General features: G+C 39.8%; 2 long non-coding RNA genes across 2 annotated transcripts in view; both read right to left on the reverse strand.

Moving 5' to 3' along the window:
- Positions 1–4422, reverse strand: part of LOC105377612 (uncharacterized) — a 37949-nt gene extending 33527 nt beyond the window's left edge. Inside the window, exon 1 of the long non-coding RNA XR_939631.2 lies at positions 4348–4422. This is a non-coding gene — a long non-coding RNA (uncharacterized LOC105377612). The remainder of the gene's footprint in view (positions 1–4347) is intronic.
- A 106-nt stretch (positions 4423–4528) lies between these two features.
- The window catches only part of LOC105377613 (uncharacterized), a 29140-nt gene continuing 15978 nt past the window's right edge, over positions 4529–17690 (reverse strand). Inside the window, exon 4 of the long non-coding RNA XR_001741964.1 lies at positions 4529–4584. This is a non-coding gene — a long non-coding RNA (uncharacterized LOC105377613). The remainder of the gene's footprint in view (positions 4585–17690) is intronic.

The raw sequence follows: 17690 nt of genomic DNA on the forward strand, positions 1-17690 counted from the left end.
TGTATGATCATTTTGAGACAGGAAAATAGGGCCTGGGTGCAGGGAACCTAGGGAATTCACAGAACTAAATCAAGCTCTGTGACCAAGTAAATAACTCTAACTCTACTTCAGCCATGCCAGGAAACATCTTCATTTGCATAGGGTGTACACCAAGGAAATCACTTTGTACCCTCACTTCATTCTCTTTATTTGCATAGGGTGTACACCAAGGAAATCACTTTATAACCTCACTTCACCTCTTCATTTACATACAACGGAAGCCATGTCACCAATGGGAAACCTCTAGAGGGTATTTAAACGACAGGAAATTCTGAACATGCCTTTGAGCTGCTTGCTCGGCCCCTCCCACCCTGTGTCGTGTACTTTCATTTTCAATACATCTCTGCTTCTGTTGCTTCATTCTTTCCTTGATTTGTTTGTGCATTTTGTCCAACTCTTTGTTCAAAATGTCAGAACCTGGACACCCTCTACCAATAACAGTTTCATTTAAGGAAAGTTTCTGTACTCTTGGCTAAGTAAGTCAGAAACTTATTTTAATCTTACAATGAGTACAGGTGGTATCTTCCTACCCATTCCTAACCTACTTATGAACCCCGCTTTGGAAGGTGACAAAACGCCTCACCAAGCCTCAGAAAGAAGAGGCCTGCTTAGCAGCATTACAATCAATAGTATTTATAAAAAGCTATCACGAGGTCGAGTGCGGTGGCTCACACCTGTAATCCCAGCACTCTGGGAGGCTGAGGTGGGCGGATCACGAGGTCAAGAGATGGAGACCATTCTGGTCAACATGGTGAAACCCCATCTCTACTAAAAATACAAAAATTAGCTGGGCGTGGTGATGCTTCCCTGTAGTCCCAGCTACTCAGGAGGCTGAGGCAGGAGAATCGCTTGAACCCGGGAGGCAGAGGTTGCAGTGAGCCGAGATTGTGCCACTGCACTCCAGCCTGGGTGACAGAGCGAGACTCTGTCTCAAAGAAAAAAAAAAAAATGCTACCATTAAAACAGTAGTGACAGAGAGGAGAGGCAATGCCATTACATGAGACCAGGGGAAGCATTATTTGTGGTTCTAGACGGACTGTGACAGAAGTTGTTTGCTCAGACAAAGCCCATCAGAGTCAAATACTTTCAGATTAATACCTTGCTTAAGTTATTACAGCATGGATGGTATGCGATGTTTAGGCTCACCTATTTAATCATAAAAAGTGTCTATGCATATCAACTAATTAAAACTACATAAGTTAAAAGAAATATTTTTATATTAAATCTATTAATCTACTGGTAATTATATTTAATGGTCAAAATCATAATATTCTAATTCATTATTTTATGCACAAAAACTTGGGGATAGAGTCTAAATAGTGGTTGAATGGATGATGAATATATCACTAAACAAAACAAATGAATCAATATGTTCTCAGGGGCCTCCTAGTCCCTAAATTCACAAAACTCACAAAAGAGAAAGACAAAAAGCAAAATTTACTTAGAGAATGCTTAGCATTTAAAGCCCCAAATTCCTATAGGTCGCATCTAATAAAGTTGTACTAGCATTCCAAAAGTATGGAAGCTGAGTAGAGGAAAATGGTAACACCACAGCAATGCAGTCAGCCATAACCATGATGTGGAAAACTTTAAAACAAACGGCTCAAATTCATACGTCGTTGAAAAAGGATACATTGTTAAGAAAAAAGTAGCCTGTGTTGAAGTGAATAGTTAATGTATTTTGTAACAATTATTTTAAAAATGGAATACTCAAATTCTTACACGCTGCTTCTACAGAGGCTGACTATACAATACATAAATTAAAAAATAAAATAAGCAGATTTCTCTGCTTCATATATTTTGACCTCTTCTGTGTGTACTTTTAAATTTTTTGAACCTAAGCATGCTTTTAAAATCAATTAAACATTTTATATAAACTGATAAGTAAACATATCCAAGAGTGGAAGTTGGAAGACAATGAAAATGTCTACCTTGGATATGAGGAGGCCATCAGGGAGAAATGTACTATGGAAATATTTTTAAAACTCAGGAATAAATTGTGTCCCTCACATCAGAAATACTAAGTCACATGGTCTGAAGGAAATCCTGCAACTTTAAAGAATTGATTTTCAAAATTACCCACCAATACCTTATAATACCAGAATGTTGAGTAAGAAACATTCATATCAACCCCTATCTGAATTCTGAGAAAACGACTGTCATGTAATTGACAGTGGTGAGGACTGAAAGCACAGGAACATCCTGAGCCTCACCAGCACCAAGCCTAGACACGAGAAAAAAGTGATGCCAGCCTGGCACCATCAAAATAATCTCTACATATGAGGACAAGTTAGTGTCTTATAAATGCAGAGGGAAAGTGTTTAATTGTAAGAGATTTGCTGAACTAAAAAGGAGAATGTCTTCATAAACAACTGCTCTGTAGCTGCAAAATAAAATAAAACATGGACCCTTCAAAAAATATGTACACTCCCCTCAAGGTGAGCTGACGAGAGGATACAAAGATCTTCCAGCAGCCAGGGGAGTAACCTGGCCCCAGAGCAAAGACCACCAAATGTTGGGAGTTTGTGTTTCTCATTTTTTTTTGTCTTTTTCCAATCAACCAAAACACAGGCAATTAGTTTATAAGCTTCACATCCTTAACCAGAGCTGGCAAAAAGTACGAGTCAACAAACAAAAATAATTGAAACAAAACACAAAACAAAAACCGTCGGATCAAATGAGGAAAAGCTCATTTTTGGGAATAGAAGAGAACATCACCAAATCTGAAATGCTACCTGTAGAATAAAGTCAAATGAATATTCATTCATAAAGTGAAGACAGAATGATGTAATTCGAATAATGAGAAAATAAGAATAACCTGTTGGCATCATCCAAGTAAAAATCAAGTAAAAATTCGATGGAAGAACCAGAAGGTAAAGTCCCGGAATTGTCTCAGAAATTAGAAAAAATAAGATGTAAGTGGATAATTTTTTTAAAAATCCCAATCTTGAGTTAAAAAGAGATTTGGGCAGGAAAAAAAAATGCCCTTGTGAATCATGCACATTGGGTGTTAATTGAAGCCAGGACCATAGATGAGATTGACTAGAGCGAGAGGGAATAATTTGAGACAAAAGGGCCCAAACCCAAGCTTTCCAGAACTCCAAACGTTGGTGGCCTAGAGGAAGAAAATTACCCCACAAAGCAGGCAGAGAAGGACGAGCTGGAAAGGTCAGGGTTAAAATGAGGCTGAGGAGTCTCCCAGGTCACCGAAGGAGAATGGGCAACAGCAGAAAATGATGAAGAGGGGCCACACAGGAGCAAACTGAACACAAATACTGCAGGCTGGAGGTAATTACTGAATTTAGCAAAAGCTGGTTTGGGTGTAGTGTTGGATTAAAAGTTAGATTTTAGTGGGTACAGACTGAGTAAATAGAAATAATGAGAAGAGGCAACACCAGGAAGAGACAGGCAGAATACTTCTTTAACCTGATAACAAACAAACAAAAACCTTTTATTTAAAACCCCTGCCTAGAATGTTCTTAAAGTGAAATACGAAGTATGCCCAGTATATCTAAAGAACATGTAACATATATCACTGTTTTGTTGGGGAATATATATTATTTCAGTATAAAGATAAAACTATTTTATTTTCCCAGTAAATACTAGAAATAGTGTTCTGTCTTCCGAGCACTTTCCCGGCTGTGTGATTTCCTGAGTCCACAGTGATCTACCGTGGGGCTTCCAGCTCTGCACCAGCCCAATGTCTCAAGCTCCAGGACCCGCCGTGGGCTCCACTGGCCGGCTGGGCACGCGGGGGCGTTTTCCCTGTCCTTCCCTGGACATTTGGGTCACACACTGCGCACTCCACCCTCTAACGGGGAGTAACGTTCCCCTGAGAGAGCATCACCACCCCTAATCAAGGGAGATGGGGGACAGTGCAGGCACCCCACGTCCTTCCGGTGGTTCTTTTCTGTTTGTTTGTTTGTTTGAGACGGAGTCTGGCTCTGTCGCCCAGGCTGGAGTGCAGTGGCTCCATCTCTGCTCACTGCAAGCTCCGCCTCCCGGGTTCCCGCCATTCTCCTGCCTCAGCCTCCCGAGTAGCTGGGACTACAGGCGCCCGCCACCACGCCCGGCTAAATTTTTTTGTATTTTTAGTAGAGACGGGTTTTCACCGTGTTAGCCAGGATGGTCTCGATCTCCTGACCTCGTGATCTGCCCGCCTCGGCCTCCCGAAGTGCTGGGATTCCAGGCGTGAGCCCCCGCGCTCGGCCCGGTGGTTCTTTTTTCACTCCACTCAGGGTGAGCTGAGGAGACGGAGCAGCCTCTCTCCATGACTGTTACTTCCCCACAGCTGAAGCATTTTCTTACCCGTATTTGTATTGAGGAGTCAGGACGGTGCGCAGTGAGCGATTCCGCCGTCGCTGGCGGACACACCTCAGCGGCTCCACCAGGGGGAGACTGTCCCCGTTCCCCGGATGGGGGCTGCGCTCAGTTCCAGCTGGGGCCTGAGTGGGGCGCTGTCACGAGGCACCCGGTCCCTCTGCCCCACGTGTATTCCCCATCGTCATTTAACACTGTTGCTTGAGTTGCGTCCAGTGGAATCAACTGCAAACAGAGAAAGTTAGCATATGTGTGTAAAGAAAAAAGATGAATGACCCTTTTTGTAGATGAGAGTTCAGTTTTGAAAATACACACACTCAAAATTTAAAACTTCTAAAACGAATAACAGAGTTCAGTAAATTGGCTAGGCAAAGAACATAGAGAAACAAAACCCACCACTGGTCAAGGTGTACTAAGTTGGATATCATCAAATGTAGCTGTTAACAGTGTAAATTAATTTTAATATTTTGAAAATTGTACAGAGCAAGCATATGAAGAGCCTTAAAATGTTCACATCCCTTGATCCACTGATTTTATGTCAAGGAATTCATTCTAAAACATAATTCTAAAAACTAGGTAAGGATTTACATTTTAAAATTATTCTTAAAGATATATTTAACATTGATTAAAAAATGAAAACGACAATATCGGAATTGTTAAAGAAAATGTGGCATTTTCTAACAATGCACTATTACACAGTCACCAGATACTGTGTTTATAGGTTCCTCTCACAATATAGAAAAATGCTTCTGTTTATGTTAGATGAAAAAGCAGGAACTTATTTGTATGTAAGCCTGACCACATGTAACATGTAAAATGAGGTCTTGTCTGTCTCAAGATAGCTGAGGTCAAATATATTTCAAATACCTAGCATATCCCGAAGTTCTATCCCTAATGTTATAAAGAACATGCCCAGAGATGATAAAACTAGGCCACAAGGTAAAAGTGACAGAAATCCTGAAGTCTGGAGTTGTCATCTTACATTGGACATATTTTATATAGGAGTTACCAGAAAGAATAAGTAAACTCTCTGAGATTTCACCTGAGGGAGAGGAGGTAAGTATTCAAGACAGCAAATTTAACAGGAAACGTTGAAATGTAAATTATTGATTTTATAACTGCATTCTATCAGGTTCTAGTTGTTAAATCTACCACTTATGTGTGTATAAAATAGCAAATGGAATGAAATATAGAAAAATATTAATAGAGGTTGTCATTAAGTAATATATTTATGAGTAACCTTCCTTCCTTACCCTTTTTTTGTATATTCTGTTTTTATGAAAAACAATATTAATTCTATACTTGAAAAAATTTTACTGAAAAATGAAGTAAGCTAAAGAGGGGTTGGGTGTGGTGGGTCACACCTGTAATCCCAGCACTTTGGGAGGCCGAGGCGGGTGGATCATTTGAGACTAGGAGTTGGAGAGCAGCCACCATGGCAAACATCCTCTCTACTAATAATACAAAAATTAGCTGGGTGTGGTGGTGCCCACATATAGTCCCAGCTACTTGGGAGGCTGAACCGCTTCAGCTGGGAGGGAAGGTGGAGGTTGCAGTGAGCTGAGATGGTGCCACTGCACTCCAGCCTGGGCAACAGAGTGAGACTCAAAAAAATAAATAAATAAAATAACCCAAAAAGGTAGAAAAGTAATTCCAAGTTCATAATTCCCAGATTAACCTTCGCTCCCCATGTTGGAACCAAGATTCCCTAATCAAATACCAGTCCTGGGACTGAGTTATAAGCTTTGTTTAGCCTCTGAATCATTCAACAATCCAGTCTTCTCATGTACCTCACTGATTTTGGCTAGGGAGATATTGCCATGTTTTTTTATCAAATGAATGGAATAAATTATGTAAACACAAAATGCAAGAACAATATGGTGCATGCATTAGGTATTCAATAAATGATGCCTGAAACCAGAGAGAAAACTCATTATTTTTTGAGGACCTGTTGCTTATCCATAGAATGAAGATGAAGTGGTGTTTCTAAAATAAGTAAGGTATGCTAAGTAACTACCCATCATCTCACTAATTAGAACTGAATGAGTCATGAATGTTGAATATTTATTCCATAAACACAGAAACCTGTGACAGACCCGCAATTCTTCAGAGTTCACCATTAGAAAAAGGCTCATTCAACTGAAATTTTTAATTGGAAGAGGAGATGGATTCCGGCTTTATTGTTTCTCCTTGTCTACACATATTTCTGCTTCAGACTGACTCTGTCAATTACGTTCTCCTATTATTCACTGCATGCAGGCCCTCAATTGCTGTAAACGTTGGCCTCAGGCTTGCTTATTGCGCTATAAATTTGGCAGGAGAGCTAATGGGAAAGGTGCAGCCATTTGCTGTTTGAATTCAATTTTCATGCGCGAGGCTTTTTTCCCGACTCCGAGAGTGCTCTGCTTGTGTCAGCAGAGCAAGTAATTAAAAGGGTCAGTGGTTAAATATTGCTACAAGTAGTTCAAAACTAAATCGTCATTTTTAGAGACAGAAAGACAAACACGGATGAACGATAAATGCATGATCCGTGGACTGATCTAGAACTACAAAAAAAAAAAAAAAAAGTGCTGACACCCTTCTTCACTCCAGGAAGACAAGCGACTCCATTTAAGGGTGGTGGAAGCTCGTAAAAGAGTAAGTGGTAATAGTGAGGTGCATTAGGGCATTCAAAGGCAGGTGCTCTATCGGAGAAAAATCAATGTGTGCATTGCATTTGCAAACCAAAGTCAGGGTTATTGTTTCATTTGTCAAGGTTTTAGGCCACAGAGTAGAAACATTTAAATGAGTGATTTAAATCAAGCTAATCTTTTAAAGATTGTCCATTTATTCAAAACGTTAAGCTTAATTGATGCTTCAAGACAGAGTACTCTTCCCTTTCCATCTTAGCTGTCTTAGCTCTCACCGCTACCTTCCTGCTGATTTCTTTTATTAGACTCCTCAAGTCCCATAATTGAATCTAATGTGTATTTCTACTATCACCACTAGGCTTATTAATTTGTGATAGCTCTAAACCACCACCAAAATTCCAAAAGGAAGAGGGAAAATACATGGAAAAATATAGGCCAGGCTTTGTGGCTCCCATCTGTAATCTGGGCACTTTGGGAGGCCAAGGTGAGAGGATCACTTGAGGTGAGGAGTTTGAGATAAAACTGGACAACATAGTTAGACCCCATCTCTACAAAATATACATAACATATATACTATATTAATATATGGTATATTATATTTTATATTTTATTATATATAACATTTGTGTATTTTATATATATTATATATTTATGTATATTATATATAAAATCTTATCAATATTTAAAGAGAAGTTTATACCAAAATATTTGTTCTCCTCTTTAGAAAAATAATCCCAGGCATTTGTTATAATCTGGTTCCAAACATCATTGCACTATTTTAAGTTTTTTTAAAAAAATTACTCTGATTTAAAAAGCAAGTAAACAGAAAATGGTTATTTGTATCTATAGCTGCTGGACTTTCTTCTTGGTTGTTCCTCAGTGATGTACGGCACAGGGGGCAGAGGCTGAGTCTTCATCAGGCAGAAAGGACAGTAACAACTGCACTCACTCCGGCTTTCTCCAGCGCCCGGGGGATTTGACATTCACTAAAGACATTTTTCTTTTTTAATTAAATTACCTTTCCCAAGTGGTATCTACCTTGCTCTAAGTGCTTTCTAATGAATCCTTACAGTGATTTTCTTGTCCCTCCTATTTTACAGATGAGAACACTGATTTTGGAAGCTTGGAATTAGTTTTTTTCACAGCTAGCAGGTAACTCAATTGGAGTCAACATCAGCCTCCCATCCACAGGATGATCGTGACAGTACCCATCTCCCCAGCTGTGAGATTAAACAAGTGAACACATGCCAAGCACTCAGAATGATGCCTGGCAGATTTAGCACTTTATAAATGACGATTATAAGTTCCAAGAGAGAAAATTTAACAATGTATTGGAATGTCTTAAAACAGTATTTCCTAGAGACCTGATAATGGACCACCCACAGCAGAATAATCTGGGTGCTTATTAAAAAGAAAAATTTCTGGACCCTGTCCTAAACATCTTAATTAAAAACTCAATAAATGGAGCCTAGAAATCTCCATTTTCAATAACCACCTTACTGGATTTTTGAGCACACCAAGTTTTGAGAGATGTTTTACAACCTACTCAGGTTTATTTGCATAATTTATAATAGGACTGTCCAAGGTAAGGTGTAAATAATTCAAATGGTAAGGATTGTAGAAACGAAGAAAATGAAAATTTAAGTTTGTTTCGTAGTCCATTATTTGGATTTTTTATGACATTGTTAAATCAGACACTGAGGCAATGAGAAATATGGCTAAGATTCCTACTTCTTACTTTATTATGGTTAGCAGTTTCATATTTAAATACATGCGGTAACGGTGGAGCATGGAGAAAACATTACTGTAGCCACAGCTTTCCCACAGGCACCAGTAGGCAAGAACTCCCAGACTCCTGATCACTGTTTCTCCTAACCTGTCACTGGGAAAACTTGGCTAATAGGAAAGGACCAGGATATAGTGTAGCAACTGGCTTGTAAAAAGCAGTAAGGGTGCAAGCAACAAGATAGAATTAAGGGGAGGAACAAGCATATGCTCAGTAGCCATCAGCGTCTTACCTAATCTTAGGTGCAAGGGTACACAAGTAATAGGTCATACATGTCTCCTGCCTCAGCCACTCCCTTCTCTTCACGGTTTCATCTGTTTCTCTACCTTACATGCACCACAGCCAATTGAAAATATTATTTAATAAAAAAGACTGCATAATCAAAATACCTAATTGTTTTATTTAAATAAGAAAATATGCGTTAATAAATTTATTAGTTATCCTGTTATCCTGTTATTTTACATATCTATTCATCAGTCACTTGTCAGCTAAAATAGTCTCCTTTAATCAAGTTTTAATATTCAAAACACATGTGCTGCTCTTTAAAAAGCATGACAGACACATCATTCACTGTGCATTCAAAGTCATAGATTAATTGTCACCTAATCATGCAAAATCTCCTACAAGTTGTCAAATTGAAGTTTTCTGGTGTAAATGCAAAAATGTCAAAGACATAGTCAATAAAAACACATTGCTTCAATGTGGCCTTGTGCTTTAGATTATAACATTTATTTTTGAAATAATAACTCCTGCTTCATGTGCATTAAGTCTGTGAAAGAAAACTAATGACATAATACTCATATTCAATTGCATCGGTGTTGAGAAGACATTTAGTTTGCATACATATGTGTTTTAGACGTTGGGAGAATGCGATGTCAGAGTTCTCCATGCTTTGTGTCACAGATATTCCTGGCATGCCTCACCCCTCACTGTATTCATTAATGCCATCAGCGGGGGCTGTCTCTACACATGGACGTGGGACACGGAATTTGAAACCATGACAAATACCAAATGACTTTTAGCTACTGGGCCAAACCCAATAACTCAAGGTGTAACTACTTCATTTAACAGCCTAATCTCAAGACACTCTACAAGTACCACAGATGTTTGAACAAAATGCAAAAGGAAAGTACAATTATTACGATTTTGCACATGAGAAAACTAAGTCCCTAAATACTTGATACTTCCTCGAGTAAGGAAGAATATCCTGGACCCAGATCCATCAATGGATAAGATCCATCAACATCATATTCTTATTTCCATGATTTGAGGAGGCTGAAAATTCCATTAGCTTCTATTAGGGCACAATAATGAGTGCCAATTATGAAGCAGAGTCAGTGGCACGTCCCATTTTGGACGTTAGCTGTGAATTCCTCTGAATTGTGCAGGTTGTTCCTGATCTAACTCAGCCACCGCATGGGGGTAAGCACGGGGGCATCTGCTGGAGCTCTGGTCATTCCTGAGCCCACATGTCTGTCATCCCCCTCCTTGGCTCTCCTCCCACAGATGACATCTCAGTAAGGAAAGAATTTAGTGAGCAAATAATAATTGAAGTCTGAAATTCCTTAGAGAAAAATCTATTAACCAAAGAAATTATTATAATTAATGAGAGGAGCAGGGACCCTTCTTGGAAATGTGGATGGAAATGAAGTATGGAAATAAAATCTTGAGTTCCTTCGAAGGGAAGTCCAGGCACCTGGGTAGCCCTGAGAAGTAAATGAACAACTTGATAGGCAAGGTTATTTTATTTAACAATAAAATTATTTGTCTTATTATTTAACAATATTTAACATTAACATTTAACAATATTTAACAATAAAATTGGCTTAAAGCAATAGCCAGGAAGGTAAAGTCAAGGGATATCTGGTTCACTATAGGAGCTAAAGAGAACATCTGAACATATATTTGAGTTATTTTTAAGAAACCCAAATCCCCACCAAATGGATCTACTGGCACAGACACGCCAGATAAGGGGGAGCTGAGGAGTGAACTCTGACCACTGTTCTTTGTGCTAAATTTCTTCCTGAGTGGCCTGCAGGAAGTCACACCCATGAGCCAGAGGTAACATTCTTTTCCGCGGATCCCACATATTCAGACAACGCTTTGCCTTCTTAACCAACTGCAAATCAGAAAAGAATCGAATCTGCCGATGGCCCGTGGCCTCCGCTTTGAGATGTCCGGCCTGCTTCGGTCACGTCAGTGCATATCCTTCATTGCTTGAAACCTCTGCCTCCCTGCCTTGAAAACCCTTAGCTGCAAGCAGCTGGGGAGTTGCAGTCTTAGGAATGAGCGGCACAAGTCTCCCTGCCTGGCGCCCTGCAGTAAACGCCTCACTTTCTCTCGCTGCAATCTCAATGTCAGTGTTTGGTTTCGCTGCGTCTAGTCGGCAGACCCACGATCCGTTCAGTAACATTAACAGTAGGTTTTTTATGTACTTTATTTTTGGAAGTGGGTCTCAAAGTTGGTCACCAATATCAAAGTCCTCAACATCAAGACTAAATGTCAGGGTGGATTGTGTATGTATGCTTACCTTAATATGCAAACTTTTAGACACGTAAACTTCCAAAATGCAAAGAAAAGGCATAACGACTACAACAATCATAACATCATGAGCTAACATTTTGATTAATTACCGTGCTCCACACACTTCCTGTGTATAACATAATTCACAATTTACATTTGTAAATTAATCCTATGAATAGTCTTATGAGGGAGATACTATTTATTCCTTTTTTACAAATGAGGAACTAAGGCACAGAGAGATTAAATAATGGAAATTATCTCTTCAATCTCCATAATTTTTTTAAATTAACTTTTTTCTCTGTCTACCTAGAGCATCTTTTCTCAACGATTTACAGGACTGATATTTAGGTTCTTAAAAGATGGTTGCACCTGGAATTCTTGAACACACGTGAAATATTTTAATATCAACCTGGGCTACATTCTCATATATATTTTCAGGGTTTCTTCCCCTAATTCTAAGACACCTGGAAGCCATCCCTATTATGGCAGATGTCAGTATCACATAAATAGATTTGTTGTCTACTTTCCTGACTTCCAAAAGTTGTGACTTCCAAAACATGGGGATTAATTTATACATCTTTTTATTCCCAATGACTCACAAGGTACTTTGTATACGGTGGGTGCTTAAGAGATATTAAGTAAACACAAAAAATCAGTGACACTGAGAAGGATATTAGTCTCTCTGATTCAATTTCTTGATCTACAAAGAGGGAAGAAGGATAAGGTGACATCAGAAAATACACAAAATAGCAGTGAAGAATAAACAGATTAAAAATACAAAATATGCTCAGGGAACTCAATATATATATATATATAAATATATAATATATATAATTCTACATTTGCATATAGATGAATGTAGAATTCTACATAAATTTGATATCTACAAATACTGCAATAAGTACTTATTTCTTTACCTAAAATGGCCACTCAGTACAAGTCCTATTAATTCCAGGTGTGGCTGAACCATACCAAACCCAATAGGTACCTTGGTTTTAACACATAAAGTCAAATATGACTTCTTCCATGCTATTCAGGAGTAAGTCGACTTTAGCAACAACACAGACACGTGATGAATCGATTTGCCCTACACACTGGATTCGACTGCAAAACCAGTATGAGGGTTTCAGTTATCTCATGCTGAACAAGCCCACCAAATTTAGGCCATTCCAACAGTCCAGTTCATTAATGAGTGCTGTGCTACAGCTTCCTGGGTAGTGATTTTAGTAACTATACGATATACACAGAAGCAGCCAATCTTCCTATGTGAAACTAGCTCTTAAAATAGCAATGACAACAACGAAACGCTCCAACCTAAACAGGTGAAATTTAGTTGCTCCAAACAGACACAACTCAGGTCTGTCAAACCATTTTCCAGTCACTGCTCTGTTTCTCTTGCATTCTACTCACTTTAAATTAGCACAAGTGAGTTTCTTTTCTCCCAGAGCTTCTTTGTTCTATAAAGGTATGCCTCTTCCTCCTTATAAATAACCTCTAACCATCTGAACTGTCAGGAGCTGTTTGACTCTTAGTCTTTGGACTCATAAACCACCTGAAAGTGTCTGCTCTACTGCAAACCCTGAGACACACATTGGCCCTGATTATAATGTAGACACATCAATGCTGTCTTAGACCTGTACACGCTCTGCACACATTGGCCCTGATTATAACGTAGACATGTCAATGCTGTCTTAGACCTGTACACGCTCTTCACACGTTGGCCCTGATTATAATGTAGACACATCAATGCTCTCTTAGACCTGTACATGCTCTTCACACGTTGGCCCTGATTATAATGTAGACACATCAATGCTGTCTTAGACCTGTACATGCTCTTCACACGTTGGCCCTGATTATAATGTAGACACATCAATGCTGTCTTAGACCTGTACACACTCTTCACACATTGGCCCTGATTATAATGTAGACATGTCAATGTGTCTTAGACCTGTACACACTCTACACACGTTGGCCCTGATTATAACGTAGACACGTCAATACTGTCTTAGACCTGTACACACTCTTCACACATTGGCCCTGATTATAAAGTAGACACATCAATGCTGTCTTAGACCTGTACACGCTCTTCACACATTGGCCCTGATTATAACGTAGACACGTCAATGCTGTCTTAGAGCTGTACACGCTCTTCACACGTTGGCCCTGATTATAATGTAGACACATCAATGCTGTCTTAGACCTGTACACGCTCTGCACACGTTGGCGGCCCTGATTATAATGTAGACACATCAATGTTGTCTTAGACCTGTACACACTCTACACACGTTGGCCCTGATTATAATGTAGACACGTCAATGCTGTCTTAGAGCTGTACACGCTCTTCACACATTGGCCCTGATTATAACGTAGACACATCAATGCTGTCTTGGACCTGTACACGCTCTACACACGTTGGCCCTGATTATAACGTAGACATGTCAATGCTGTCTTAGACCTGTACACACTCTGCACACGTTGGCGGCCCTGATTATAATGTAGACATGTCAATGCTGTCTTGGACCTGTACATGCTTTTGGTATCACAGTTTCCAAGTCACTCGGATTCCTGATGTTGAAGCTGTGGTCCCTTTATTTTCCATCCTTAGCACCAGTCTCTTCAAATCAAAGGATCCTGATATCCAAAAGAACCTTATCCTCTCCCGACACTCTGCTGAACTTCTGAAACTTATGTCTACCCTTCCACTCCTCTCTTGCAATTGGAGTCTTGCTGGTCACTTTATGCAGCTGCTTCTGTTTAACAGATTCTGGAAATTAACCTCAATATGAACATTAATTAAATGTCCACTAATTTACCTGTCTGTCCTTCCATGAAAAGGTTACTTTGTTTCAGCCATACCTGACGATACGTGTTTACATGTTGCCAATACTAGAACATTTGTTGCTTGACCTGATTTTTAAATTCAAATATTTAAGGTTCTTGTAAAAATTAAATGAGATAACTTGTAAATTAATGCAAGCTTGGGAGATAGCTGTTATTCATTATATTGGTTTTCCTTCTTTCATTATTTTTTTTCTGGATTCTAGGTGTCTTCTTAGAATACTGAGATCGGATATTCTGTCTGCTTGAAATAATCAGAATGGTGAAGTCCCTATCATTACACGTTTTAAAAACACATAAATTGAATAGCGACTTTTTTTTGTGGTAGGACTGTAGGAATATAAACAGATTTATGACATGTGTTTATCTCCTTGCATGGTGAGAAGTCATTAAGGGAGAAACAGAATCACAATACAAAATCATATCTTCTTAGGGCTCTGTGGGGTCCTCTGAGATCCTCTAACATGCTAGCTACACTTCACTTGCTGCCTATATAGCTTTTCTCCCAGAGAGTCATATGAATAATTTTGTCATCTCCTTCCCAAACTTGCTCAGATGTCACATCCTTAGACATTTTCTGACCAAGTCTTGTCATCCCACATCCTGAAGCCCTATGCCCTAGTCTCCTGCCTTAGCAGTTCCCATCGCTCCCTTCCCCTGCACTTTTCTCCACTGCAGTTATTACCTTCCAATATACTATATTCCTCTATTGCACTAACTTATTGTTTGTTTCTCCCTACCATAGTGGAAGTGTCTTGAAAGTAGAATATTTATTTATTGCCATATATCCAGGGTCTAAAACAGCACTGGCACTAAGAGATACTCAGCAAAGATTTACTGAATGAATGAAAGAAGGAAGTGCCAGAAACTGGAAGCAATACGAGATTATGAAGAGGACCTCATTTCCAGTTCAGGAGATCAGAAAGTCCTCAGCTATAAATTGCATTTGAGTTGATCATTTTTAAACATGAATAATTATAATAGTAGAAATTTTCTGAGGGAGTCTCAGACACCTATTTCAATGCAGATGACATTATCACACACCCTCTTGCCATCAGAACAGACTCCCTCAGTATGTAGGTCTAGAGAATGGTGAGTAAGGCCCAAGCCTGTGGTTTGCATAGGGAGAAAGTTATCAAAAACTCGAAGCTTCTTATGGAAGACCTAAAACACCTCCAATAGGCATATAGAATGGACCCTAAAGGGGGAGTCACACCCGTGAGATTGTGAAGAAAAAAATATTGTGCAAAAATTTAGATCTTGTAAAAAGACTAAGCACACCATAAAAAAATGTTAAAAGATCACTGAAAATTTAGAGCTCAGTTGGAGACTCAGTCGTAGATGCTGTTAAAGCAAAAGCTAAATATGGCCTAAGAAAGACTCCGTATTTCTATATTTGAGTCCTTGTGGATGAACTGTAATCTAGCCTAATAGCCAGACAAGATTGAAAGCTAACTTAGGAGTACGCGCCTGTAACTTTAGCTGAGTCTTGGTCAATCCCAGAGGCAATATTTCAACCACTCATAGACAGCTAAATGTTCAAATAAGGCAAACGCCAACCTGTAACCAATCCAGCTGTTTCTGCACCTCACTGCCAATTTCTGTACCTCATTTCCTTTTTTTTTGTCTATAAATCTTTCACCACGTGGCTGTGCTTGAGTCTCTCTGAATCTTCCATGATTCTGGGGGTTGCCCGATTCATGAATTATTCATTGCTCACAATTAAACTCCTTTAAATTTAATTCTGCTGAAGTTTTTCTTTTATCAGATGGTGTCAGAAGCAGGATCCAAAGCAGAGCTTCTAGCCACCCTCAGAGTGCTGAGTGAACACGCAAGGTCCCTGCAGAGCCCACTTGTGTCCATTGATCTCTCAGAGTAGCTGGGGATTGTGGGTAAGCTCCCTTGTCCTTGCAGAACACACTTGTGTCCATTGATCTCTCAGAGTAGCTGGGGATCGTGGGTAAGCTCCGTCATCCCTGCAGAACCCACTTGTGTCCATTGATCTCTTGGAGTAGCTGGGGATCGTGGATAAGCTCCCTCTCAGATTTCAGAGCTCCACTGATTGGAGTAGCTGGGGATCATGGGTAAGCTCCCTCTCAGATTTCAGAGCTCCACTGATTGGAGTAGCTGGGGATCGTGGGTAAGCTCCCTCTCAGATTTCAGAGCTCCACTGATTGGAGTAGCTGGGGATCGTGGGTAAGCTCCCTCTCAGATTTCAGAGCTCCACTGATTGGAGTAGCTGGGGATCGTGGGTAAGCTCCCTCTCAGATTTCAGAGCTCCACTGATTGGAGTAGCTGGGGATCGTGGGTAAGCTCCCTCTCAGATTTCAGAGCTCCACTGATTGGAGTAGCTGGGGATCGTGGGTAAGCTCCCTCTCAGATTTCAGAGCTCCACTGATTGGTGTTTTGAGCTCTCTGAGTTTCTTTGAGCAAATTTCTGATCCAAACTAAGTTTGGAAGTCGTGACAGAAACTGGCCTGGGTCCAGGATGGGATTTAATCTGTTAATTAACTGGCTTGGATCCACTTAGAGGCCTCTTACATCTGACTGGGTCAGAAAAGAACTAGTAGTAAGCAGTAATATTGCAGGGGTTATAAAATTTGGCTTTTGCAAATTCACAGGGATTTTTGTGTTTTACCCCTTTGTTTCATTTTTCTTGTGCACCTAGGTAGGAAAAAACCATTGTCTGAGTTAATCAAGAGAACCTGAGAGTAAAGGCCATATTTTAGGTAAAAATGGGATTCTTAATTTCTGGAAAACTGAGTTCCTTCCAGCTTATACATTAGGCCTGGGAGGCAGCAAAGTCTTATAGAAATGGCAAAGTCTTGCTAAAAATAACTTGCAGTGGAATGCTCCAAATGAACAACAACACACTGAAGGGCATTGAAAAATGTATGTATGTATTTCCTTCTGTGTTGTGGCTTGGCCTCTGGGATTATGGTACAGTGAGCTGGGTCACTAGGACCACTCAGGGAAGGGGAAACCAGAAGGGCATGCTGGCAAAAGGGTAGGAATTTCTTACCAGTCAGACCTCTGGCCCTTTTCTCCCTCTCTCTCTGTGCAAACCAGTTCAATGAATGGTAAAAATCACTGTTTGTCTCCTCTGTAAAGTTTTGATTAATGCAAAAAAGAATTCTGAGGCTAGTCTTAAGCTGTAGTGAATCTGGTATATTTTGTGTTATAAATTCGTTTTTCTGTGTCAAGGGGTACCTTGAGATGAACCATGGGCTTAGGACTCCGTATACTCCTGCTCAAGACAGCCCAGGAAGCTGTTCAGTAATAAACTTTGCTGCAGGTCCCTGACATATACAAATAACTGGATGAGGTCTCCATCTTGTTTTATGACCTTGGGAGCTTGACCTTGTAACCACGTGACGGTACTTTCTCTTGGTCTCCACCTTCCAGGGAAAAGGAATTTTAGAGTTCATGTCATAGCTAGCTCTAAAAATTATCCTGAATAGTTAAAAGCCTTTGTAAACTCAAAATTAACTACTCTAGACTCCTTCTGGCAAGGGCAATGGAGACTGCCCCTTGCTGTGACTCAGAAACTAAGA

The sequence above is a fragment of the Homo sapiens genome, chromosome 4 (assembly GCF_000001405.40).
Source record: "Homo sapiens chromosome 4, GRCh38.p14 Primary Assembly".
NCBI lineage: Eukaryota > Metazoa > Chordata > Mammalia > Primates > Hominidae > Homo > Homo sapiens.